Consider the following 26761-nt stretch of genomic DNA (forward strand, 5'->3'; position numbering starts at 1 on the left):
GATTCATGGATATTCATAATTTCAACACTTTAAGACCACATAAAAAATGACCAAAGAGAAATCATTGTTGCCTATGACTGTTTTTTATTTGCAAGAACTTTAACATATTTTGAGTTTAACTTGTTTCCTTTTATTCTTTAAGGTGGACTTGGAGACCATGCTATGTCAAAGAAGCGAGGGGCCCTCTACCAACTTATAGACAGGATAAGAAGAATTGGCTTTGGTATATCAATGTTTAAAGTTGCAGACGCTTGACTTGATGTACAGTAAATATTATACTCATAGCAGTTCAGTTTATTAAAATCAGTGTGCCATTATGATGTGAAGTATGTAAATGATATATTCTAAAACTTTTTATTTTGCTAGCTCATATCTGATCAAAGCCTTTTAGAACTCATTTGGAATAATTTGAAATGTTCCTTTAATTTATTTTAAGCTTCTCTTTATTTAAACATGTATCAGGTGTTTATTTTATTATTGATACTTATTTCCAGGCAATTCAGCATCACACCAAGGTATTTTTATAAAGCCTGGATCAATTTTAATCAAGTGAAAAAATATCATGGTTATTTGTTTTGAAATAAATCTACTTAAAGTAAAATGAAAAACTTATTACCGGATTTAAAAAGTTAAAATGTTTTGACCATTCAAAAAATAGAAAATAGTTATAAATATATATAAACATTCAGAACTAATTATGCCTCTGGCTCATAATTAGTTAATATTTACAGTATTGAATGTATTAAAAATTATTTGTAGATTTTAGAGGTTTGTTTAAAATCCTGTATGCATAGCTCATATTCTAACGTTCCTTAAATTGATGGATTACTAATTAAATGCTTGAAGTACATATTTCCAAGGAATAATTTTCCCAAGCAAAAGTGCTTTGCTCCAGGCTATTGAAAAGACAGACATGTTAGAGACAGAGTCCCTATTTGTTGTGTCAAAGTATACACCAGTGGCAGGATATTCATATTGACAGTGATAGATAAGAAAGAATAATCATGTAAATTTAGGAGAAACAAAAACAGCAACAAAAATATTATGAAAGGCCATTAAGAAAAGGAAAAGACTATAGACTTGAAAGCTGCTCCAGAATAGAATGCATTTTGTTCGTGTTGTGTACTGACCTCTAAATCATGCTGCATTCCTTAATATGAATACTGAGGAAACTGGAATGGAGATAGCTTGTTGTACGGGAGGCTGAGACCATATTTGTCTTAATGTTACTTCATTTACTACCTGTATAATATAGTATTCTTAATTTTAGACTGTACTGTGGAATATCAGTTCAGATTTGAAGGATTAGGAAACTAGCAGGAGTAACAAGAATCTTAAATATCATGGGACTTTATTAAACAATATTTGTTTTAACTGTTGGTGAATTGATAGTGACTAGCAAGACATGAAACAGAAAACAAATTTTCTGTGGCCTATAAGCCTGACTGACTTCTATCCACTTTAGGCTGTTGTATGGATATCCAACAAAATTCACTCACAGAACATTAAGATATAGTATTTTGACATGAAATACTTCAATATTTTAATGCTTTTGTTCAAGTATGTAATATAACTGAAGTTTTTCTTTAATGCATTTTGACTTCTGGCATTTATACAAAAAATATGTAAATAAGACATTTTAACTTTTGTCCTTTAAGAGGTAAATGATTCCCTGACCAAGAACTTCTGTTTCACAGAATGTTTTAAATGTCACTGCAGGCTTGGAGCAAAACAACACAGTTAAGGGAAAAGTACCTCTACAATTCTCAGGGCAAAATGAGAAAAATCGAGTTCCCAGAGCCGCTACATCAAGAACGGAAAGAATATGGCCTGGAGGCGTTATTCCTTATGTTATAGGAGGAAACTTCACTGGTAAGATACTCCCAGCATGTCTGTTTTCATAAAGAAATAAAAACTATCATACAGATTAAGTGTCTATTTTTATAGAATATTAACATAAGATACATAGTATTAAGTCAAGGTTGGAAAACTACTTCATTAACTTAGGTTATTAGTGTAGAGTGTCTTTGAAATTGAAAGCATATCTTTGGTATTGTGTTCTAAGAGTTTAAAGCACTGTTCTGGTTTTTAAACAGAGTTTCAGATGTGCCTATTAAATTTGGAAGCTGATCTCTTTCAACTGACAGGAAGAATGTATGCCTCATTTATAGAGCCTTGTAGACACATATTTGTAGAGATAGTGAGCTTTAGCCCTCTGATTATAAAGTGAGTGTCCGTTCTTAACAATGACTCATTTGTGGTGCCATAAACTAGTATTCTTTGGTTGATGATAGTGGTGGCATTCTGCACTGCTCAGCCAGACTTAGGGTAGAGGATGCAGCAAGAAGCATTCTTCCTGGGGATGCCACCTTTTCATTAACATCACACATTTTTTCTAGGCAGCCAGAGAGCCATGTTCAAGCAGGCCATGAGGCACTGGGAAAAGCACACATGTGTGACTTTCATAGAAAGAAGTGATGAAGAGAGTTACATTGTATTCACCTATAGGCCTTGTGGGTAAGTAGAACTAGGTAGGGACTGACTTAAGGAAAAAAAAAATTAAAAGGAAAACAATTAAATGTCCATAGGTAAGATTTATTTCTTAAGATTTGCTTTGTATTTTGGCCATGAGAAAGTCTGGATTTTCCATAAAAATATTATATACTAGGTATGTGTATTCTTTGATCACAGTCCTCTGTGCATCTACTGCAAGTGTATTCTTTTCTACCACCTCAGTTACTTTCTAACAATGACATTACCAACATCCCACTCACCTGAGCTAGAAACTTCAGTATAGTCAACTAGGGATTCTGTTGTGTTGTCTCTAAAATAGTGCAGTAAGTTTTTATTGATAGTCACTGTATCTTTTGATTTCAACTTCTATTCCATGTCAATGCCCTAGTTCATTCACGTATTTATCATCTCACACCTGGTCTGTTTATACATCATTAACCTAGATATTTTTGGATAGTTCCATAAATTTTTAGTTATGACTTATTCAGCAGTGTTTCCTTCTAAATTAACTTTGGCTTGATATGTTTTGGTTACATTTGAAATACTTCCTCCATCTTATCTATTTAATATTTAAGAGATACAAATCTAGGCTATCCTTGTATCTTTCTGCTTATCTAATAGGAAAGGATATAAACTCATCTTGCATATTTCTAAATCCATAATCTATTCAGATCAGTACATCTTTCCTCCTTCCCACATATCAATTTTGTAAAACACATCCAAAGTTCTGATCACTTATTATTTTATTGCCTAATATCTGTTTTCAATAAATTTATATTTATATAAATTATCTTTTTTTAATAATCTCCCATTTCACGTGTTTTATCCTGCCAAACTGTTTTTCCTCATTCACTATCACATCTTCATGTTTTTGCTCATGATAGTTTTGATGCTTGGAATGCCTTTACCTTCCTTTTCTTATCAGTGGAAATCTTTCACATCTTTCATTCTTACCCATTCCTGAGCTGCCCACATTGGGATTTTGCTCCTACCCATAGCTGTAATCATAATATTACCACAGTTTATCCAAATGTCTGTCTTTCTCAATGATGAGGATGGTTAAGTTACCTCTGTGTCCCTCATGATACCCAGCCCACTACTTTACACGTAGGCGATCAAGAAAGTACTGACAATTTAAACATCAACTAAGGAGCCGGGCACGGTGGCTCACGCCTGTAATCCCAGCACTTTAAGAGGCCGAGGCAGATGGATAACTTGAGGTCAGGAGTTCGAGACCAGTCTGGCCAATATGGTGAAACCCTGTCTCTACTAAAAATACAAAAATTAGCCAGGTGTGTTGGCGCGCACCTGTAATCAGGAGGCTAAGGCAGGAGAATAGCTGGAACCTGGGAGGCAGAGGTTGCAGTGAGCCGAGATTACGCCACTGCACTCCAGCCTGTGCAACAGAGGAAGACTCCATCTCAAAATAAATAAATAAACAAACAAACAAACAAACATTATGTAAGTACATTGTGCATATTCCTCACACACAATAAAAGAATGTTAAGAATTTTTCTTTTACGTTAGAAGATTGTGAGACTTTCAGGGGATATTTAAGGACATGTATTTCAATTATTTTAGAAATGTGAAAACTAAATGTAGTTGCACTCTTGAAGTTAGCCCCTTGAGTATTAATATATACATATATAGTATTAATTAATATATACATCTATATATATAATTCATATAATGTGATATGTATATATTAATATTTATTTGTACATGCATATACATATGTGTGTTAATATATACCTATATTTGTGATTTTTATAGTAGTAATGCAGTAATGCTGAATTTTGGTAATTTATCTTGCTACTCATTTTACAGTTCAAACTTTTCTCTGTGTTGTGTTTTTGGTGCTAGGAAGGATGATACTTGTATAGGAATTGATCACTGACTGGCAAAGCATTATAATCATTCTAACTTCATTTGGAATTACCATTGTTGACACAATTTCATAAAACATCATATTTCATGATGATTTTTCTATGATAATGCTTCACTTAAATCTCATAAAAATTCATTTAAATTATTAAAGAGCTTGGTAGTTGGTGTGCACAAAGTACTTCAGCTCAACTAGAATAAGATACTTGTCAAGTCAAGCACATTAGCACTCCTATGGGGCTTCAATATTGGGTCTTTCATCTCATAAAAAAAGACAACAGTGTGGCAATAAATGTGTAGCATTTAACAATATCTAGTGTAATTGTTCATTGAGAACCTGCAAGGTAGTGTCATTGATATTGATGGAACATAAATCAATTCTATTTCTAACTTTAATCTAATAAGAAACACATCTTACCATCACTTTCATTTAGCTCTCCCACAAAGTTAGGCAACTGGTAACTCTTGCGATTTTTTAAAATAAGAGCTAAAATAATCTTGCCCATATTTATAGGAAGGACTATTATGCATGAAACTACCTGTGTCTTTTAGAACATTAACTATTGTTTCCCACCTTATTCTACTATAGTCAGCTCTTATTCATTTAACATTTATTGGTAACTTTTCTGTATCAGGCCTTTAGTAGATGGGAAAATAATAAAATATAATAAGCAAAAGGTGGAGGTCAGGACTTTTTGCCACTTAGCTTCAGTGCATTTCCTCCTTAAATTGTATTATAAGTACAGTTTATGTATGACTGCAAGCATATTTGTATATATAGGCACATGCATGTTTCTAAATATATGATCTCTTTGATTCATCTTCAGTGGGACATATGCTTTAACCCTCACCCTTATATTGGTAAAAGGTTTGAACTGAGCTATAAGTATTTTATTTACATTTGCATTTAGTACAACAGTATGAGAGAACTCTGGTTGTAGCTGATTAGCAGGCTGCTCATCAGACTTTCTCAGCTACTTATCCTTATAGAGACAGGTAAGAGAGGAGGTTCTCTAACTGCCTTCTTATTTCTTCTTTTCCTTATTTTTTTCTTCAACGAAGTATTTTTCAGTGAACAGTTATTGTCATCAGTGGCATTTATTTATTTTGCAAGATGATTGATTATTATTAGCAAAATGTGAGATTATTTTATGATAGAGATTGATTTCATTCTTTGTGAGAGATTTATATAACTATGTTTATTACCTCAGTCTATTATGTAGCCTTTTATAGCTAAATAGATTCTATTTACATGACTTCTCTCCTTTTATTAGATAATTTTTGTGGAACAATCTTACTTTTTTTAATCTACTTATCTTTAATGATTGCCAAAAAAGTAAATAAACAAAAAAATTACAGTTAACCTGTTTCACTAATCTTTAAATTTTATGATTAAATGGTATTTAACTTTGGTCTATTTGATTATTCAGGTTATAAAAGTAGATACTTTTGAGCCGGACGCGGTGGCTCATGCCTGTAATCCCAGCACTTTGGGAGGCCGAGGCGGGCGGATCACGAGGTCAGGAGCTCAAGACCATCCTGGCTAACATGGTGAAACCCCGTCTCTACTAAAAATACAAAAAAAAAATTAGCCGGGCGTGGTGGCGGGTGCTTGTAGTCCCAGCTACTCGGGAGGCTGAGGCAGGAGAATGGCGTGAACCTGGGAGGCGGAGCTTGCAGTGAGCCGAGATTGCACCACTGCACTCCAGCCTGGGGGACAGAGCAAGACTCTGTCTTCAAAAAAAAAAAAAGTAGACACTTTTTCATCCTATACTTGTTGAATTCTCATTTTGTCCCACTTAACATACTAAGTTTTGGGAATGTAGAGTTGAACATAAGGTGTTTTCTCTCCTCAAGAAGGTTATATAGTTAGGCAGTACGGGTGTGCTAGCCAGGATTCTTCTTTGCGAACAACAGAGACTGGCTAACTTAAGCAGAAAAAACGATTTATTAGAAGGTCCTCGTCTCCATTTGAGACCACCTCAGCCTGGACTTTGTTGTCCATATCACTATCAGCATTTTGATCAAAACCATTCAACAAGTCTCTAGGAAGTTCTAAACTTTTCCACATCTTTCTGTCTTCTGATCCCTCCAAACTGTACCAACCACTGCCCGTTACCCAGTTCCAAAGTTGCTTCCACATTTTCAGGTATTTTTATAGCAGTGCTCCACTCCCAGTACTAATTTTTTGTATTAGTCTGTTTTCACACTGCTATAAAGAACTACCTGAGACTGGGTAATTTATAAAGAAAAAAGGTTTAATTTATTCACAGTTCTGCATGGCTGAGTAGGCCAAAGGAAACTTACAATCATGGTAGAAGGCAAACGAGAAAGCAAGTACCTTCTCCACAAGGCAGCAGGAGAGAGAGAGAGTGCAGGGGAAACTGTCACTTTTAGACCATCAGATTTCGTGAGAACTCCCTTATTATCACGAGAACAGCACAGGGGAGACCACCCCCCTGATCCAATCACTTCCCACCAGCTCGGTCCCTCGACATGTGGGGATTACAATTTGAGATGAGATTTGGGTTGGGACACAGAGTCAAACCATATCAGCCACAAAGTCCAGCTAATTTTTGTATTTTTTTTTTTTTTGTAAAAATGAGGTTTCACCATGTTGCCCAGGCTGGTCTCAAACTCTTGGGCTCAAGTGATCCACCTGCCTCAGCCTCCCAAATTTCTAGGATTACAAGCATGAGCCACCATGCTCAGCCCTGGAAAACTTATTAAATCAAAACAAAAAAGAAACTGAGTTATTTTAATGAAAAGGTAAATGGCGATTAACCTAAATAATTGAAACTATTTCAAATACAGCACATAAAAAGGCAGAACCAGTTCCACCTTCATGGATAATCTAATAGATTAGCTTCCAAAGGGGTTTTGTTCCAAAAGGGTTTGGTCTACCAAATAATGTTCCAAATGGGTTTTGTTCTACCAAACCAAGGCAAAAGTAGGAAGTAGCAGATTTTGATTTACCTGATTACCATCTATGACTTATGGAGAGGTGAGGCTTTTCTGTTGATAGGGAAAGTTTTTGCTCGATGCTACAGGTAGACCTTAAAATGTCCAAACTTTAAAAGTGGCACACAAATGAGAAACAAAAATCCAACAGCCGTATACAAGAAAACAGCATCAAACCTGGATGACATTAGAAACTAAGATAATATTTAGACATTTTAAAATCACATTAAAAATACATATTACCCTTGTCTTTCCATGACTAATATTTGTCTAAGCATATATGTAGTTATTTTCTTAATCTGAGAGTCTAGAATTCATCTGTCTCCAAGACCTTTAATTAGTTGGGGATCAAAACACCACATTTTTGTTTTTTCACAGGACCATTGTAAAATAATACCTCTGAATAAGGCAGTGTGAAATCTATTTTTCCTTTCCAGTGTAAAACCTCATCTTATAGGAAATTGCTATGAGAGCAATTATGCTAAAAAGGATGTTTTAGATGAAATAAATTGACCACATTGCTTTACTGTCTCCCACATTTTGACTTGCAAATAACTATATTCCCTGAATAAAGCCAGTAAGAATGACTCAATAGGGGTAATTTAGTTGCTGTATAATCATCAGATGCTTCAGTTTCCTTACTATTGACTTAAGGTAGCAAATATTTTAGTTTAAATATCTCCAAAATTTGAAATTTTTTTTTGTTTTTTTCTTCATCTAATATATTTTTAGGCATGTAATAATATTCAAATACATAATAGGTACCTATATATGAATTAAAGCATATTATTTGAACAAAAAACTACCTGGGGCAAAAACAAATTTCATTGATTCCTCTTTTCACCCACCAATCACCTCTTTCTTCTTTCTATTACTGATTTATTAAACTCAGTTAACTGCTATAATAAATTTGTAAATGATGAGTACAAATTAATTCATCTAACTGGCGTAGTATGGATGAAAATTATTAGGCGACTAAAGCCTACAGAAACAATTTGAAAATGAAAAAAAAGGGTAGGGGGAGAGGGAGATAAGGATTTATATTTGTGGAAAATCAAAAGGGCTGTCAAATGTCCTTATCCCAGAAATTGAAATAGTGAAATTCCTTTTAATCATTCGGTCAATTAGTTTTTGGCATTTTTCTCTTCCAATTTAATATATCAGAAGAGGCGGTTGGCAATGTCTGGTGCATCATGATCCCAACTATTCAAAGCCGACCATTTAGTGCCCTCTGTTGCTGTGCTATTGATGTTATTTTAATTTAAACTCTAATTATTAAAGTTTTAGATATATTTATAATTGTAGCTACTATAATATTATGCCATTTAAAATTTATTTTAAAGTGGGCATCCTGTGTGCTCAGTCTTTCCCACCCTGTGTCCCAAGAATATTTGGGACTGTCATACACTCACACACTTAGACTTGCAGACACACACAATGACTAGATGGAACTTCTATATTTTGGATAGAAAAACATCATTTTTTCTATCCATTGAGGCTGGCCACAATGGCCCACACTTGTAATCCAAGCACTTTGAGAGACCAAGACAGGTGGATCACCTGAGGTCAGGAGTTCAAGACCAGCCTGGGCAACACAGTGAAACCCCATCTCTACTAAAAATACAAAAATTAGCCAGGCATGGTGGCAGGTGAATGTAATCCCCGCTACTCTGGAGGCTGTCAGGAGAATCACTTGAACCTGGGAGGCAAAGTTTGCAGTGGGCCGATTGTGCCACTGCACACCAGCCTGGGTGACAAAGCAAAACTCCATCTCAAAAAAAAAAAAAAAGAAAAATGTCATTGAATATGTATAAATATCAATCAATTGATGAAAATTTGCAGAAAGACATTCCTGCATGTTTCACATTCTATTTGACAGTCCAGGAGATTCTTTCAGATGATGAAATAAAAAATCAATCTCAATTATTAGACTGCTCATTTGACACAAATCATAAATATCATTCATTATACTACTCCCAGTTGTTGATTTTTCTTTACTACTTGTCTTAGTCTAATCAGGCTGTTATAACAAAATGTCATAGACTGGGTGGCTTTTAAACAACAAACATTTATTTCTCACAGTTCTGGAGACGCGGCACTGCAGAATTGGTGTCTGGTAAGGGCCTGCTCTGGTGCATAGACGGATGTGAGATGTGTTTTTGCTGTGTTCTCACATGTCAGATGGGATCAGGGGAGCTCTCTGGGGCCTTTTTATAAAGGCAGTGATCTCTTCATAAAGGCAGAGTCCTCCTGATCCTCAAATCACCTTCCAAGGGCTCTGCCTTCAAATACTATCACCATGAAGATCAGGTTTCAACATGTGAATTTTGGGGGGATATAATATTCAGTTCCTAGCACCAGTTAACTGTTAACTTTACTGTTAACCTTACTTAATTCATCTTTTGAAAATAATGTTCTTTCCTTTCTTTTTTTCTTTTTTAAGAGACAGGGTCTTACTCTGTTGCTCAGGCTGGAGCGCAGTGGTACGATCCTAGCTCACTGCAGACTCAAACTCCTGGGCTCAAGTCATCCCTCCACCTCAGCCTCTGAAGTAGCTAGGATTACAGGTTTGCGCCACTATGCCCAGCTAATTTTTGAATTTTTTGTAGAGATGGGGTCTTACCATGTTTCCTAGGCTGGTCTCAAACTCCCGACCTCAAACAGTCCTCCCAGGTTGGCCTTCCGAAGTGCTAGGATTACAGGCATGAGCCACTGCAACCAGCCAAAAGTAATTTTCTTTAATTAACTTCTTCTTTGAAACGTTTCTTTTATTAACAAAATTCTTCCATGAGTAGAAAAAGTAATTTCTTCTTTTTGATAAACCAACATCTTTGATAAATAAGTTTAACTCTCTTTTTCTCAAAGAGGAAAAATAAACTTTCTTTACTTTCATATTTAGTACTGAAATAATATTGAATTATTGTCAGATAACCACACTGACAAAGTAGTAACCTAAGTAATTAATATGAATTCTGAGGATAAAATTATATTAGAAATAAATGTGTATTGATGGCTTCAGCTTAACTATATGTCTTAGAAATACAACATCGTCATCATGATATAAGTGTCATCACCATGATAATTAGTTTATTTTCTGATGTATTTCCGAATGCTTCTAAAAATGATGTAAGCATATTTTCTAATATATAGATAATTACAAAAGCACTTGAACTGATTATTTGGAAGCTTTTGTTGAACTTAAATTTGAAAGGATACCAGAAACTAGTCATATGTAGTAATAAGAGGTTGTTCTGTTCCTGAATGTGTCGGACTTTATAGCTCATCACTATTCTTTACAAAAAATTCACCATATTGTCAGTTGTCCAGCACCACCTTTCCACCACCATCTCCACTTTCTCTTTTATTCCAGATGCTGCTCCTATGTAGGTCGGCGAGGAAATGGACCTCAGGCAATCTCTATCGGCAAGAACTGTGATAAATTTGGGATTGTTGTTCATGAATTGGGTCATGTGATAGGCTTTTGGCATGAACACACAAGACCAGATCGAGATAACCACGTAACTATCATAAGAGAAAACATCCAGCCAGGTGAGAGGCATAGAATGTGTTGGGTTTAAGGCTGACTGGGTATCTTTGAATTGTATTTATGCAGTTTATTATTTCACTTTCCCAAAAATGTAAACTGATATTTTTGATATGATAGAGTAACATTTTGCTTGATTAAAAATCACCCATGATGATTTTATATTTTATTTTATTTTTCCTGGAGACTGTGTGATTTCATGCATTTTTTAGACTTGCTTTCTTTTTTAAGATTTAGCTGTTTTATTTCTAAACTTTGGTGCTTTCCAAGAATGAGTGTGAGCTATTGAGCCATAAATTAATATTATTAAATATTTCTTTTTTACTGAAGCATTTTTTGTACTTAGTTCTATAATTTATGTTATAAGGATTTTAAAAAGGCCTGGGGTTTGCCATAACACGTGCTGCTACCATAGGAATCTGTGTTATACCAGGTACAATTTCTGGAGAAAATCCAGTGAAATGAGTCATTTCCAAGCTAATATAAATAGTTTTTTCTGAGATTTTCCTCTTAAACTTGACTACCCTAAAGACAAATTCTTAGGAAAATTTTCAGTAATTGAAATATAATTTCTACTTAAAACCTATTTTTCTCTGATAGTTGATATTTGATAATGGCCTCAATGTAAGACTTTTTAACTTTTACGTGCATAAAGATCAGTATATTTCAGTTGCCGAAAAATATTCTGTTGTTTGGAATTTTCTTGTAAGGTATTTTAAGCATAAGCAAAGTAAAAATGTGTTTTTATTTTCTTATTCATGATCAGTTTTGTTACAAACATTGAATTCCTTCTGTAATTAACAATACTGATCTCTTTATTTGCTCATTATATATTTGATGCCGATTATTTATTGAGCCAATGTTAGGCGTTGAAGATACTGTCATGGAAAATACAAAGTTTAGTGTGGGATATGTGCATATATATAAATGATTGCAAGTGAGTGAGAAAAGTGACAGTAATTAGTAATATATGTTGAAAATACCATAGAGTCCAAGCAAGGCATGACGAAAAGTCCCTTAGTGAGTCAAGGGAGTTGTAAAGGAATGGAAATTTAGAAGTAAAGCAGAAGTATTTCAGGCGGACAGAAGAGTGATTAAATTTCAAGCGAAAAGGACTTCATGAGCAAAGCTACAATTACAGAAAATTGAATTATTTTTATGTGACCATTATGGTTGATGGTAAGTTACAAGTGGGAGATTAGTTGGTATCTTATCCTTTACTTAGGAAAGATTCTCTATGATGTAAACCTGGGGAGGAAATTCAGGTTTTATTCTCTAGCTAGTGGGGAATAATTAAAGGATTATAAGCAGGAAAAGTTCAGATTAAAATAAAGAGAACTCATTTTCCCAGTCAGACTTATAGCGATCGTTAACTGGGTGGTGGCGGGGGGGTGCCTGAAGTCCAGGAAACCTAATAGAAATCTAAATAAGTAGGTATGAGAGGTGACTAAGTTCTTAGGGTAGTACACATCAAGAGGAAGAAGAGGAAATAGTCTTTCAAAAATATTTTAAGAGGAATATCATCATGTGAGGGGAAATCTTCAAAAGTTTTCTTTTTAGACAACAAGATGAATGTTGGTACCATCACATGAAACATTTGAGATATTGAAATATTGATAAAACAGCATGTTTTTGAGAAAGAGAAGGACAAATAATGATTCAATTTAGCATATCCTTGAATTTAAAAAGCCTTTGTATGATCCTTATTTTGTAGAGAAAGGAAAGGTGAGTCTGGACTTCAGGATGTATCTAAAGATAAAAAATTGACATAGATTTCACTAATTAGGGAAAAACTGGATGGAGAATAGAAAAAGGTTGAGACTATAAAATGGGTAAAAACAATATTTAAGCAATACTTGGTAGAGTATGTCCTAAAAGACTAAGAAGGTATTGCCTGAAAGGTAAGAGAAAAATCAGTGGATTGTGGTGTCCTAGAAGCCAAGGAAATAAATAATTTGAAGAATGGTGAAGTGATCTGTAGGGTTAGATATCAAAATAAGTTAAAAAAAAGTATTCTCCTCTATATAGAAGACTCTAATGAATGAGCCGACTATCAAGATTCGTCCTATATACCACTAGGAGGGAAATAAAGAGGAAATAAATCTGAAAATTATTTCAACTACCACATAAATGAGAACTTTGCTGTTACCAAGAATTATTCGTGTTTTTTATTTGCCAAACATTTAATTACGTGGAAAAAATTTATAAAAGATGTAACTTTCAAAAATGGTTTTTACTCTTAAAAATAGGATCCTGTTTCAATATAAATATGTACCTGAAACAAGGAGAAGTGTATATAATGTGTAGTATAAATAAATGCGCAATCCTAAAACAGTGCTAAGGAAATTATGGTTTGTAATATTTTCTTTTGACTAAACATTATGGCCAACAGAAAAAAATCTATTGGGTGAGATTTCCTGAATGATGGGAACCACTGTAACAGAGCAATTCTGGTATAAAAGTGCTCATGTTGAAGATTAATCTTCAAAAAATTTATGATTTGCTGTCACTCAGAAACTTAAGATCAAGTCTTAGTCAAGGGTGATGTCTAATAAGCACAAACTTTGGCCTCACATTTATATGCAAAATCAGTGATTATGATAGGAACCAAATTGGTATAAGGATTGGGTTACTCTAATTCATGTTAGAATATGATTTCAAGAAGGAGGCTTGCCATTTTTAAAATTGTCAAATGTGGTTTCCCTTAGTGCTATGTATTCTGCTTCTCTTTCCTTTCATGTAATAAGTCTACTTTTCTGTTATTTGGGCTGTGTATGGCTATGTTGTTTTTAACTAACAAAAATTGTTGTGTCATATGCACGTTAAGTTCTCAAGTTAGATGCATTAAAATGTATTGCTGAAGTTGCGTAATGTTCTACTTTCAGAAATTTTTATGGAATATTTTGCTTTAGTTAGAGAATCTGGTCCCATATTAAGTTCTAAATTGAAATCTTACAGGTTAATAAGTATAAAATTAGATCCATAGCTTTTTGAAAATCTGATCATAGATTTGTTATATTAGACTTCAGATTCCTTATGAGACAGGTGTTTTAACAGTTGCCTCTATCATGGGTTGAAGAGTATGTTGAATATTTCCCAAGAATGGTTGTAACATAAATAGACCTATCAGAGATTTGTGGAGCACGTATTTCATTATAAGGTCTGGTTAGTTAATTTTAAATTATGTATTGTGTAAATTCATTCAAAGACAGACTAAAACACCTTGTTCTGGGACTTGGGTTCTGTAACTTCAGGTTGATTCTTCATTCTTAATTCTCAAGTGAATACCCCACATTTCCTTTATCACGTATTGGAGAGACATAACTCAATTTCTTTATTGCCTTTAGAAAACTCTGTATTAATGGGATCTTTTTATATTTGATTGAAATATGACAGTTGGAATTAAAAACCTAAGTAGATGAATGGCATAATAGTTCCATTTTTAGCTCCAAAAGTGAATTTGGAATTCCTTTAGCTCATCTTTCTTTGTATTTTGATGTTTCAAAGCTTTTTGTTACATAAGTGATATGATTTGTACAATCTTTGGGTACTTAAATTGTGAAAACTGAGTCACCAAAGCTTAAACTCTGTTTTAAGAAATGTGTCTTTCCGGAATCATTGAATTTAAGTCTGTGTTCTTTTCAAATTTCGAGAAATAATACTACAATACAGATACAAACAGGCAATTGAAAAATCTGTTAAAAATGAAGATGTCCAGAAGTTAAACTAACAGATGTGGAAATTTGGAAAAGCATTTACGTTCTGAAGCATGTTCTTCTTAATCTCAAAGGAGAACTGCCTTTTCATCAAGAATAAACTTGTTTCATTTTTAAATGAAAGTAGAGAATTTGCTGTTACTGTTTGATCTTCAGTGATGAAATCGTGGAGCAAAAGCCTGCAGAGCTCTGTTTAACTAATATTGCTTTTATATCTTCTCCTATTGTTTCATAGAAAGGATCTAAACCAAATAGGAAGATGATTTTTGTATGACCTGGAAAACCTAGTCATAAAAATGGGAAACTCATAGATAAAAACATAACTTTGTGTAATTATTTGTACATTACCAAAAGTGCAGTAAGATTTTAAAGAAATAAATATTATGAGGTGGTAAAAGAGCATACATATAAAAGAAAGTATGCTTTTTCATAGTCCACCTTTTTTCAGAAATTAACACTTTGTTCCAATTCAATATTGCTTTTCAATATGATGGTAGAGTGAAGACAGATGCTTTCTGCATGTGCCTGTGTGTTTTGTATGTAAATTCGATCAGCAAGATCAGTCATTTCACAAAGAACAGATGCAGGTGTAGGAAAGGCCTTCTGGTCTATTTTCTGTCAGTTAAAAGGCTTCTGAGATTTTGTTTATCCCTGGTTCTTAGGTCAAGAGTACAATTTTCTGAAGATGGAGCCTGGAGAAGTAAACTCACTTGGAGAAAGATATGATTTCGACAGTATCATGCACTATGCCAGGAACACCTTCTCAAGGTTGGAGTCTCAGGTTATACCTTTTGACTTTTAATTCCTTTCCTCCATGTGGCTCCTCACAAAGCTATGCCTGACATTAGAACTAGAATTACTTTCAAATATTGCTACCTCACTGCAGAAAGTAGAAAAATAATTCATGAACATTTATAGACAAGAGCAAGTATTTAAAAGGCATTTTAAAAATATATTTTTAAATTCTCTACCAAATATATGAATTTAATATATAAAATTTATACCAATAAGATGGCATAAATTATGTAAACAATTTTATATTCCTAAATCATTAAAAAGTTGAATTAAAAGCATTACCAAACCAATCAGCATGTTAAATTGGCAAAGAATTGTTTAATGAAAATTGGATATTTATAAGCTAAATAGGTTATTTAGCAGTTCTGTTAAAATGTCACAATCTAGGCGACTTGTGCTTTATACTGTGTATTTTCTACTGCTCAAGTACAACTTACACTCAAAAATTGATATTACTAAATGAATTGTCAAATAACAAATTAGAAAGATATTTTACCTCATATAATTTAGAATTATAGTTCATCACTCATTAACCCTAAAATTATGTCATTAATGACTTAAAGCTACTTTTAAAGAATGCAATAAATTTGGGTTTTGATCTACTTCATTCTAAAGATGATGTCATCAAGCAAATAGTTCCCAGGTAAGGAATTTGGAACTGTTAAACCATTGAATTCACCCCTTTTTCCATTTATGCCCATTTTATGCTCGTATGTCATTTCAACTCTTTTTTTTTTTTGCCCACTTATGTCCATTTCACAGTTCATTGACATCTATTTCTGAAGGCAAGGTCAGGAAAAGGGAAAAATATTCAAATGTATTAAGCTGCTTTTATAAAACTTTCTTGGTAAAAAGTAGAGAAGGGTGTGTAAATGAAACCTTAATACTTGGACACATTTATTAATTACCCATTTTTTCCAAACCAAAGTTTATTATTTAAAAAATTTGTGTTAACTGTATTTTTAAAATTATGCTTTTCTAAAGTACATTATTTATAGACATACGCATTCATTTGTTAAAATATAATTAACTGTCCAAATGTTTATTTTTTCTAGAATATGAATTTAAGTTTTGATAGAAATAACATGCTCAGTAATTTGACCTGAAATTAATCATAAAGAGTTACAGAATTTTATTTTCTGGTAAATGCTTGGAATGGAGTTTTCCATAAAACATTTAACAAATGGATATTTAGGTTCCAGTTCAGTCAAAGTGCCTCTCTTCTGCTACTGAGTTATATTGTTTAGAACTAACCTGAGTTTTGGTTCCTTGGAACAGAGAAGGTACTGGAGAGTAGAGAAAAACAATTTATTCTTTTTGTCCTTCACAGATGATAAATCTTTAGCAAAGTTCTAACTGTATGTTTCCCCTTATTCTATACTTTTTTCCATGTTGCATTGTGTATTTTCCCATAAATTAATCTGCTCTTGTTGCCCGTAGTCCACCTCACCCACACCTGCTTATGAGTTGAATGCCAATCAGCCTTTGTTTATTACTTATCTTATTGTTTCAAAACCATCCTATGCATTTTTCATAAATAAACTCAACACTTTTACAATACAGGAGATCATATCCACCTGTTAGAAGGATAGCCTGATTGTTTCATTCACGTTATTTTATTTTTTAAGTCTTTAAAGAAGCTGTTTATTAACTTATATTTAAATGATTTTCAGGAAAAGAAAAATTTGACATAGGTCTCATTCTGCTACTCCCTCAAAGTTTTTGAAATTTCTTTTTTTTTCAATTATGGAAAAACACAAAACATCAAATTTACTGTCCTAACCATTTTAGGCATACAAGTCAGTAGTGTTATTTAAGTATATTGACATTACTGTAAAACAGATGTCCATAACTTATTCATCTTGCAAAACGTAAACTCTATACCTATTAAACAACTTCTCTTTTCTACCTCTTCTCAGCCTCTTGCAATCACCATTCTATTTCCTGTTTATATATTTGACTACTTTTGATATTGTATATAACTGGAGACATATAGTATTTGTCCTTTTGTGATTGGCTTATTTCACTCAGCATTATTTCCTCAAGGTTGATCTATGTTGTAGCATGTGAAAGTATTTTCTCACTTTTAAGGCCAAATAATATTCCATTGTAAGTATATATCACATTTTGTTTATCTTGTCATCCATCAGTGAGCATTTGTGTAGCTTCTGCCTCTTGTGAATAATGCTAATATGAACATGGGTGTGCAAATATCTCTCCAGCACATTATTTTTTGTTATTTGAATAGTAGCCATTCTGAGTGTGATGTCATATCTCGTTGTGGTTTTGACTTAACATTTCTCTGATGATTAGTGAACATCCTTTTATATGCTCGGTGGCATTTGTATATCATCTTTGGAGAAATCTTTATTTAAGTCCTATGCCCATGTCTAAATCAGGTTATTTGATTATTTTGTTGTTGAGTAGTAGAAGTTCTTTGTATATTCTGATTAAACCACTTAATTTATATATGTATATATATAAATATAAATATTGGAAATTTTTTTTCCATTTCTTAGGTTGCCTTTTCATTCAGTTGGCTGTGTCCTTTGATGTACACAATGCTGTATGTTTGATGTCATCCTGTTTGTCTATTTTGGTTTTATTGACTGTGCTTTCTGTGACATATCCAAGAAATCCTGGTCACATGCAACACCATGAAGCTTTCCCCTTGTGTTTTATTCTAGAAGTTGTATAGTTTGGGTCTTATGTTTATTTATTTAATGCATTGAGTTAATTTTTTAAAGTGTTTTTTTTAAAAAAGAGACCAATTTTATTATTCTATATGTAGATATCCAGTTTTCTCAGTGTCATTTGTTGAAAAAACTGTCATTTCCTAATTGAGGAATCTTGACACCCTTGTCAAAGATAATATGATCTCGTATATGATGGTTTATTTCTGTGCTCTCTCTTTTATTTCACCCGTCTATAGATCTGTCTTTATACCAATACTGCACTGTTTTGATTACTGTAGCTTTGTAATATGTTTTGAAATCAGTTCTGCAAAGTTGGAGTGTGAATTTTTCAAATATTTTTTCTTTTTCAAAACTGTTTTAGCTATTTGGTGTATCTTGAGATCATATAGGATTTTTAGGATAAATTTTTCTATTTCAGCAAAAAAAATGTTGGGATTCTGATAGAAATTGCATTGAATCTGTAGATCACTTTGGATGTATTAACATCTTAACAGTGTTAAGTGTTTCAATTCAGGAACAAGGGATCTTTGTCTCTTCTTTAATTTCTTTCAGCAGTGTCTTTAGTTTTCAGTGTAAAATCTTTCACTTCTTTGGTTAAGTTTTTTTCTAAGGTTTTTTTTATGCTGTTGTGAATGGAATCAGTTATCTTTTGGATTGTTTGTTGTAAATGCATAAAAATGCAGCTATTTTTGCATTTTGATTTTATATCCCATGACTTTGCTTAATTCGTTGACTGGTTCTAACGGATTTTGTGTGTGTGTGGAACAGTTAGAATTTTCTGTGTATAAGATCAAGTCATTTCCAAACAGTGAGAATTTTACTTCTTTCTGTCCAATTTGGATGGCTTTTATTTTGCTTTATTTTTTCTCGTTGTCCTGGCTGGGGCTTTCAGTACTGTGTTGAATATAAGTGACAAGGGTGGGCATCCTTGCCTTGTTCCTTATCTTAAAAGAAAATATTTCAGGTTTTCACCATTGATTATGACATTAGGTGTGGGATTTTTATATATAGTTTTTATTATGTTGAGGTAGCTTCCTCCTATTCCTAGATTTTTGTGTGTTTATTATGAAAGGGTGTTGAATCTGTCAAATACTTCTTCTATATCAGCTAACATGATCATATGGTTTTTGTTCTTTATTCTGTTAATGTAGGTATTTGAAGTTTCTTAGTTTTAAAAATTCTGAACTCACAGAGTCTATAAAAGTTCCAATTGTTTTTATGATGTTGCCCATCAATATATTTAGGAAATCACTTATGGGAAGAACAGGAATGTATCTATAGGGTCTTTATATGAGTGACTATTTTGTAATATACATGCTTCTGAACTGTGGACTGCCCATTTTTCATTTAAAAAGTCGTAAAATTTTACAAATTTTTGTTAAAAGTATAGCTGATTTGCTCTTTCAATGTAGTTAGAACAAATCAAGAATAGTAAGTGAACCATGATATGATCTGTCTCTGCCTATTGATAGTGGCTCACTGAGGAGGTTCAGTAAGATTTTGCATTGCTTACTTGTCAGGATATGGAGAAGAATAATTGTTAACTTCCTGACCACAAAAAAGAAGAAAAGCATGAGTGACTAACTCCCTTGAAATGGAAGGGAGATTACCTTAGTAGACAGAATGAAACAAAATTCATAATTCTGTTGTCTGAAATTGAATATATTCTCTCCAAGATGTCATTGACCTTTTCAAATTGAACCTTTTTTTGGAAGTTAGGAAAAAATCGAACCCCAGAGGCCACAAATTTGTTTTTAGAAATAGAAAAAGAAAATGGTAAATGCTTTGTTAGTACTGAAGTACTACAGAAATTTAATACTCCATTAATTTGGGTTTATGTAATTAATGTATCTGTTGACTCATGCCTCAAGTTACAAGGCCTTTCTCAATGCTACCTTGTAACTCATTTCTTTTTCAATTACACTGGCCTGCCTGGAGTGGTTTCTTATGAACTATGCACAGATCTCACTTTTGATGGTCAATTCCCGTAAATCACTAGCTCTACTTCTCTCCTGTCTTTTCAGACAATGTACATATGGAGTTCTGTAGATGTTTAGATCTTGTAGTAAAGAGTTCCAGTCTCCCTATTTGAGTTAGTGTTATCTATAGATCAGTGCCCTTTCCCTTACCTTGGAGCTAGGGCAGTTAGTAATAAAATTGCTCATAGATCATATTACTCCTCTGCTTACCATTTTCCTATAGATTAACAGTTGTCCTCAGAGTAAAAGTTAAATTATCTGGCTGGTGCTCAGACATTTTAGGGGTCCTCTCATTTCTGAGCTGTTGTGTTTCTTGTTCTTTCTGTCTGGAAACACTGTACTGCCCGTTACCCATATTTCTCTGATCTTCACTTTCTTCATGTGTGACTAAAATGTCAATTTTCAAGTGAGTTTCACTTTGATCACTCTATTTAAAAGCAGCCCATCACTGCACAATCAATATCCATCTTCTCACCTTTATTTTTCTCGATAGTACCTATTACTACCTGGATTATTAATCATTTGTTTAATGTCTCTTTCCTCATATTTGAATATTAGAATCATAAAGGAAGGAATTTCTGTTTGTTTTATTTACTGCTACAAATCCAGACCTAGAACTATTTCCTAATGGAGGCTAAGTAGAGCTGAAAATGCTGTTCTTTTAATGCAAGCGTTAGTTTAAATGCATTAAATTCATTTATAAGTTTTGGAAGGAAGTGCTGCATCATTTTCTCAATTTAAAAGATATTATAAAATTTTATTTCTTAATTTAAAATATTTTTATAGAAAGGTTTTTTGTTGTTGTTTGTTTTTGGTAAATCCACAAACACACAACTCATACTTCTCAAACCCTTGGAATAGCCTCCCAGTTCATTTAACTTTTAAGCTCCCACTTCTTTAGGGCTATAAATATTTGACATACATTTAAAAAATTAGAAAGTATTTTTAGGGCACTATATTCAGAACTTTAGATCATGCATATTAGGAAAAATTAGTGAATCTTTTACCACAATCTTGAGTCCCAAACAACTCACTATCTGTAGTTTAACATTATTATGCCATTGATTAGGTTTTCTTATTTACTAGTTTTACCATAGAAAAATTGAAAAAATTGCTTTAAACTGCCCTAAGTTTTGGCATTCTTTGTTTTTTTTTATCTTTTTTTTAACATATGCTGTAATACTTGGACTTCTAAGAATACTTAGGTTAAATTAGTAGTTTAATTCAGAAAAATTAACCTATGTATATTTTGTTTTACTCTTAACAATTTTAGTAACTTCAACATTATTTACTGTAGTTTGCTATTGGGGAAATAGACCTCTATGAGGAATCATTGTTTCACAACCTGATAATCTAAGGAATTCTTAGATCTGCTTGGGAAACCAAAACAAATGTCATGGTGTACTTTGTGGGGGATTATAAGGTATTCCATATTTTTAAGAACATACATGTTTCAAGGAAACAAATGAATGTCATCATTGAGTTTATACTAGGCATACACATTTAACATGCTTTTTTTTCTACTTTGATGAAAGTGTTTTGAAAGCCTGATACACTGCTTAAAGCACACAAGGTGTAGTTCCCCTTTGATTGACTTGAGTTTGAAATAAATACCTTATAAATGTAAGGAATTCATGAGTTTTCATTTGGTGACTTAGGTGTGGTTTGCTTCTGCTTTTTTTCAGGGGGATGTTTCTGGATACCATTCTCCCCTCCCGTGATGATAATGGCATACGTCCTGCAATTGGTCAGCGAACCCGTCTAAGCAAAGGAGATATCGCACAGGCAAGAAAGCTGTATAGATGTCCAGGTATTGCACTACACAAACACAAGAGCATGACTGTACTTGATTGTGCTCTTCCAGATGAATAAGCCATGATTTACTCAACTGTTTGTTTGTCTCCCTCCCTGTTGGCAAGTGACGTGTACAGTTCAAAGTCAGTAATCATAAAATGAGGCAGGAGGGAACTCTGGAACACCTAATTGCTGTAAATAAAAACAAGTTGTTGAAATCAAAGTTCAAACACAGGGATAGTATATTTTATTTCTTTTAATTTAATGAGTGAAAGAGCAAAATAGAATGGTTGCTTGATAGTCATTAATTAAATAGTTGCATGATTTCATAGTCAAATGCTAAGTTTCCTTTCTGACATAAAAAGAATATCCTTTATTTGAACTTCAGAATTGGATCCTGGATGATATTTTTTTGCAAGTACCATGGTTAATGGCATATAAATTACAATTTTATCAGTAGGAATTTATAACTTTGTTGTAAAAAAAAATGTTCTAACCGGTTGCAAGTGAACTACTCTATGTTTTGCCCCTAAATAAAGTTTCAAAAGCAGATTCATGAAACGTCTTAATGTTCTAAGGGAGCACTATGCCTTAATCATCCAAGAAAGAAAAAGATTCTGTTTTCCACATTAGAAATCTAGATTCTATGTACCTCCAGTATACTCACAATATTTGAAATATCCTACAGCAAAGAAACATGTTTAACTTTGCATAACACAGTCTTTTCCAAATTATTTGTCCAAGGAAACCTCCTTTTACCCAATACTTACTTGTAGAATTCACTTTTGGAAGTATTGTTCTAGATACTTAAGGTTGCAGATACAATAAAACAATAACTATAAAAGTTTTAATTGGCTGCAAATCTGATAATGTTTGCAGAAAATCAGAGAAATGATGGATATCTTAATCATTGGAGTTTTACATAGATAATTGGTTATGTTTATTTATATATTGTTATTGGGAAATTCTTATATTAATTAAATTTTTATGATTTCTGGTGTCAGTCCAGGGAACTTTTAGGCCATAGAAGAGGGCTAGCTAATTCATTCATAAAAAATTAATATGTACTCGTTGACATATGGTATAGAACCCTTCTGTTGGACAGATAAAACTCAAGTGCAAGCAAGAAAAAGTGAGTTGTTTGAATAATCCCAGGAAATACCTGGAAACTTCCCAGGAAGTTCATAATTCTGTATGTGATGGTACGTAATTCATTGATTCAACCCAGTGGATTCTGTTGACATTCCTGCTGAGAGAAGGGATTTCCTATTCCTTAATACTAGATTTGCTAAGGAAAATTGTAAGAAATTATGTTTTTTTTTTTCAATTTTACTGTAATTGTTAGTTTTCTTGTAACTTAGGACTATTAAGTTTTAAAAGGGCCAGTTGATATTTTTGGAATTTAAAGCTGTATGTAAAACTTTTTGCATCATAATGATTCAATAATGAAAGTGAGTTTTCAAAAATTTTTTGTGTATAAATATATGTCTGCCTAATTTTTCCATGTACCAAAAGACATTTCTACTTAATATTCATTAATTTATTACTTCATGCTGTTTACTGAAGTTGCATTCATATTTACGTAAATCCCTTTAAAATGTTTTATGTATGTATGTAAGATACACATGTATATGTGGTATATTTTTTAAAATCAAATTTCCATAGGAAAAAATGAATTTATAAGAGAATGATACTGCTATGAAAAAAGATATGGGTGATCCTTAACTAATGTCTAGTAACATTGGGCATATACTTTTCAACTTTTAAAAAGTGAAAATTATTTGATTAACAGCAACTAAATAAGTGAACACTTTGTGTATAAAACTCTCTTGATTATATCTCTAAATGTACGTCTACATACATTACATTTGAGAAGCACACTGGAGGTTTGTATGCACACTGAACTGTAGGAAAGTCAGGAAGAATAAAAAACTAACCTTATGATATTGTAATTTATTTTTTAGCCTACAATTCTTGGATATTTCAGTTATAAACAGGAAGATAATTAGAAGTATAGTTTCTACTTTAGATTTCAATTGTGTAAAATACATTAATGGGCCATTTTCTTACCTGAAATATAGAAATAATAATGTGTACATTATTTTATTTAATACAATAAAACCACATTGAAGAAAGCACTATGATCTGGGAAAAAGATATTTTGTATTTCTGAAACAGTATGAAAAGCAAATTACTGTATTACAGCTAATAAAGTACCGGGAGTAAGGGACAGCTAAAAGAGATATATAAATATACATACAGATATATAGAGAGATATATAAATATACATATATATAGATATCTATTTCTCTCTGTATATATATCTTTTAGTGTTAAATTTTAGTTCCCCAAATCTTTGGGAATGACTTTTTCTTCTATCTTGGCCTTTTTTTAAACTTTTATCTTTGACTCAGTGGCTATATGTGCAGGCTTGTTACGTGGGAATGTTGTGTGATGCTGAGGTTTGGGCTGCGAATGAATGATCCTGTCACCCAGGTTCTAAGCATAGAACCCAACAGGTAGTTTTCAACCCTTGCCGCCTCCCACTCCCTCCCCTCTAGTAGTCCATACTGTCTATTGTTCCTGTCTTTATGTCCAAGTATACTCTATGTTCAGCTCCCACTTATAAGTGAGAATATGTGGTATTTGGTCTTCTGTTCCTAAGTTAATTCACTTCGGATTATGGCCTCCAGCTCCATTCACATGGCTACAAAGAACATGATTTCATTCCTTTTATAGCTGCGTAGTATTTCATGGTATGTATGTATCACACTTTCTTTATTCAATCCACCAGTGATGGACATCCAGGTTGATTCCATGGCCTTGCTATTGTGTACAGTGCTGCGGTGAACATACCAGTGCATGTGTCTTTTCGGTGGTACGATTTATTTTCCTTCGGATATATGCTTAGTAATGAGATGGCAGGGTTGAATTGTTGTTGTGTTTTAAGTTCTTTGAGAAATCTCCAAACTGCTTTCCTCAATGGCTGGACTACTTTTTATTCCTAACAACAGTGTGTAAGCATTCTCTTTCTCTACAGCCTTGCAGGTGTCTATTGTTTTTCATTTTTTTAATAATAGCTATTTTGATTGGTATGAGCTGGAATTTTAAATGTTCAACAAATAGCCCCCTCCCTTCCTCTTGTTCTTTCTCTTTTTTTATGTTTCTTTCTCTGCCCCTCTCAGCCACTCTGTGCATGTGGATATATCTGTCTCCCTTTTTACTTCTTTCTCTTTCTGAAATAGTTAGCTTTGAGCCCTACATATAGTTGTATGTTTAAGGTTCTTCTTTTCCTTAAATGAAGTGCACTCATGACTTATCAGGATAAGGACAATGATATTGGCATAAAATACTTACCACAAGCCAAATGACATTAAGCTACACTGATGCAGTAGGTTTACCAATAACTGCAAGTATATAAATGGAGTAGAGTTAAAGATTCATAACTGTACATGTGAGTCTTAATAGGGTGACTCATCTGTGAACAACCCAGAAGAGAGTAAGAGTTTATAAATTGAGTTCGGATTGTGTTTGGTTTTCATACAGAGAGGAGGGGGTTATAAAGCTGAGTATTCCTTTGGAGTTTGTTTTTTTCTTACTCTTTTGTCAGAAATTCCTGGTGGAAAGGCAGACAAAAACAAGCAATGGGGAAAGGACTTCCTATTCAACAAATGGTACTCGGATACTTGGCTAACCATGTGCAGAAGAATGAAACTGGACTCTATCTTTCACCGTATATAACCATATACATAAATTAACTCAAGATGAATTAAAGATTTAAATGTGAGACCTCAAACTATAAGAAGCCTTAAATAAAACATAGGGATCACCATTCTGGACATTGGCCTTGGGAAATAATTTATGACTAAGTCCTCAAAAACGATTCAACAAAAATAAAAATTGACAAGTGGGACTTAATTAAACTAAAGGGCTTCTACACTGCAAAAGAAACTATCAACAAAGCAAACAGACAACCTACACAATGAGAGAGAATATCCACAAACTACACATCTGACAAAGGTCTAAAATCCAGAATCTATAAAGAACTTAAACCAATCAACAAACAAAACAAATAACCCCATTTAAAAAATGGGCAAAGGATATGAACAGATACTTCTCAAAAGAAGAGATACAATCAGCCAACAAACATATGAAAAAATGCTCATCATTGCTAAACATCAGAGAAATGCAAATCCAAACTACAATGAGATGTCATCTCACACCAGTCAGAATAGCTGTTATTAAAAAGATGAAAAATGACAGATGCTGCAGAGGCTGTAGAGTAAAGGGAACACTTACACACTGTTGATGGGAATTTAAATTACTTCAGCCATATTGGAAAGCAATTTGAAGATTTCTCAAAGAACTTAAAACAGAACTACTACTCAACCCAGCAATCCCATTACTGTGTATATATCCAAACCAAAATAAATTGTTCTGCCAGAAGGGCACATGCATTCTCATGTTCATCACTGCACTATTTCCAATAGCAAAGGCATGGAATCAATCTAGGTGTCCATCAATGGTGGGTTGGATTTTTAAAATGTGGTACCTATAGACCTGGAATACTAGGCAGTCATAAAAAATAATGAAATCATGTCCTTTTCAGCCGCATGGATGGAGCTGGAGGCCATAATCCTAAATCAACTAACACAGGCATAGAAAACCAAATACTGCATGTTCTCACTTATAAGTGGGAGCTAAATATTGAGCACACATGAACGTAAACATGGAAACAATAGACACTGTGGACTACTAGAGGGGAGAGGGTGGGAGGCGACAAGGATTGAAAAATTACCAGTTAGGTTCTATGCTCACTACCTGGGTGCAATATGCCTATGTAACTATCTTATACATGTACTCTTTGTATCTAAAAAT

General features: G+C 33.3%; 1 protein-coding gene across 2 annotated transcripts in view, besides 1 other annotated feature; it reads left to right on the forward strand.

The window, feature by feature from the left end:
- The window catches only part of TLL1 (tolloid like 1), a 231221-nt gene that overhangs the window by 119425 nt on the left and 85035 nt on the right, over positions 1–26761 (forward strand). For both annotated transcript variants that reach the window (NM_012464.5, NM_001204760.2), the window contains exons 3-8: positions 143–223; positions 1720–1872; positions 2400–2517; positions 10730–10908; positions 15282–15387; positions 21775–21899. In NM_012464.5, coding sequence (NP_036596.3) covers positions 143–223; positions 1720–1872; positions 2400–2517; positions 10730–10908; positions 15282–15387; positions 21775–21899 — 762 coding nt within the window. The remainder of the gene's footprint in view (positions 1–142; positions 224–1719; positions 1873–2399; positions 2518–10729; positions 10909–15281; positions 15388–21774; positions 21900–26761) is intronic.
- Positions 21796–22090: a silencer, noted in NCBI's record as "tiled region #2915; K562 Repressive non-DNase unmatched - State 24:Quies". NCBI's record gives its function as "represses a minimal TATA promoter and a strong SV40 promoter by Sharpr-MPRA in K562 cells {active_cell/tissue: K562}" and the evidence as "EXISTENCE:reporter gene assay evidence [ECO:0000049][PMID:27701403]".

Source organism: Homo sapiens, chromosome 4 (genome assembly GCF_000001405.40).
Source record: "Homo sapiens chromosome 4, GRCh38.p14 Primary Assembly".
Lineage (NCBI taxonomy): Eukaryota > Metazoa > Chordata > Mammalia > Primates > Hominidae > Homo > Homo sapiens.